The following is a 2,505-nucleotide window of genomic DNA, read 5'->3' as shown; positions in this document are numbered from 1 at the left end:
CCTCCCTCAGCCTCCTGAGTAGCTGGAATTACAGGTGCCTGCCACCATGCCTGGCTAATGTTTGTATTTTTAGTTGAGATGGGGTTTCATCATGTTGGCCAGGCAGATCTCAACTCCTGACCTCAAGTGATCCACCCACCTTGGACTCCCAAAGTGCTGAGATTACAGCTGTGAACCGCTGCACCAGGCCGAGACATTTTTTCTTTTTAATGAGAGAAATAATGTCATATTAGTATGTTCTTAGGAATGAGAAACGAGCCAATAGAGAAAAGTTGATGATGCAAGAAAGAAAAGTAAGAATGGAAAAGTTGATAAAAACAAAAGAAAACAAAACAGAATCTGATCCCAGACAGGAAAAAAGCAAAGCGTTCATCCTTCATAGCAGGAAGACAAGAAGAACATACAATGCCTATGCTGAGATATGGCCCCACATCATAAGAAGTTCTAAAAGCTCTCTTCTGGTTTGTTCTCTCTTCTGGGTCATGTGTAAAACCAGATCACTGACTGAACAGGATTTATTATAGACATGAGGAGCAAAAAAATGTATAAAATGGTATTCTAGGAAAGAGGAAAAGTAAACTGTTAGGCATTGGAGGTATATACAAGATTGATGGTCACAACAAAATTGAAAACCACTTACTAGTAAGAATGATTATTTTTTTTTGCTCCTCACACTGAGCTGAAAGAATGTAGGCTTGGATTAGGTAAATGATTGTATTTAAACATGATATGTGTGTTTATACTTTTTTAAGCTATCAAAAGGTAAAAGAGGGGCAAGGGAGTTGAGGGTGCATTTACAGAATGTTTATACAATTTAAGCAATGAGGAAAGAGATGATATTTAAGAGTTGTGGGACAACAATCAAGTAAATGAATTATAGATGATGATGGGCTGTAAGGATTTGCATGACAGGGAGTAAATGAGAAAAACAGGGTGTGAATTAGACTGAGTGTGATGTCTGAAACAGATTATGGGGCAATGTATGTTTCTGGAATTCAAAACTATTACACAACAATAAGTGACTGAGCCAACATGGAAAAGAGCACTGGAGGAGAGAGATTTAATGAACTCAGAAACCCTTCATAGCAGAAAGGATGCAGAAAGCTGATTTTTCTAGATAATAAAATTAACAAGAACCAAGAAAGCAGTTATGTTGAAGAGAGTGATAGTGAAACAGTGGCTAAAATGTATGAAAACTGAGGGATGTGACTAGCAACCAGCAGATGCTTGCAGAATAGAGGGGTATGAAGCAGCATAGACTGATGACACGCAATTTGGAGATCAGGGCTTTTTAAGTAGAAAGGAGGCATGGCATTGAGGAAGAGACAGACACCTATACAGTATGGTAAATATAAATGTGTGATCATGGGTGTAAAAATGTACATGATGTTTTAAAATCAAATAAAGTGTATGGTATCTTGCAGAATTTAAGAATGCTTGCTTTCCTCATCTTTCCTTTTCTCATCTTTTCTTCTTAAGTGCTTTCATCTCTTAGACCTCATTCCACCTGCAGCGTGAAATTGTCTGGGACTAGTATGAGCTCTATCATTGCATACTTGATTGCCTGGCCTTGTTCTCAGGCTACTCTCTGAACTGCCTTATTGTTTCTCTGTAACCCCACTACCCGCTATGCAGAAGTTAAAGGCACATTTGATAGGTCTCAATATGTATGTCTTTTGTGCCGCTTCATGGTGTGAAAGTCCATTGCTCTTAACAGTTTTACTTCCCAGGGTAGCTCCACTTTTTTCTCCTTCAAATACATTGAACCCTAGTCTTTTGAGCATAAAGAGCAAAAGATAATATACCAGCTATAAATATACTCAGACAAGCCAGGCTGCTTATTTTCAGACTGAACATGCTGTTCTATTTCTACTACCTCTTATTAGAAAAAAAAAAAAGTGATGTAGGTCATTCTTCATTCACAACTGAGTTGGAAGAATTAGAAATATTTCAAAGTAAACCTGAGGGGGTGATTTAAAAAATCCAACCTAAATTAATTCTCATGGACTTAAGATTTTTTTTTAATATTTGAGCTTGTTTATCAAAAACAAACCATGTGATATAATTAGTCTCAGCTTAAATCCACGGAGGAATGTTCTCAATTTGATTGTGATGTATCACAATAACTGTGCTTTTGGTTACCGGATGGGAGAAAATGAAGTGTATTAAACTATGGTCAATGGAATTAACTATTTTATGCAATTTGATGTTTGATTTTAAGGGAACTCTGTAATAGGAACATTATTGAATCACTTTGGACATGCTCAGCTACATCCATCCCAGCTTTAGAGTGGTCAAATTTGTATGTGGCACTGCCCAGCATCCTTAATAGTGGCCAGTTTCATGCTAGCATCAATCAACAACCCCATGTTTCAGACTTCCACTATACTAGTATCGCCCTGTTGCTGTTAAGCAACAAGAAACGCACTGGGTAGCCACATATGACCAACCCAGAAGTGTAGGGAATTAACACCCCTAGGGTAAAGTGGCTAAGAAACTGCCAAT

Source organism: Homo sapiens, chromosome 5, assembly GCF_000001405.40.
Source record: "Homo sapiens chromosome 5, GRCh38.p14 Primary Assembly".
Taxonomy (NCBI): Eukaryota; Metazoa; Chordata; class Mammalia; order Primates; family Hominidae; genus Homo; species Homo sapiens.
This window is presented reverse-complemented; position numbering follows the sequence as displayed.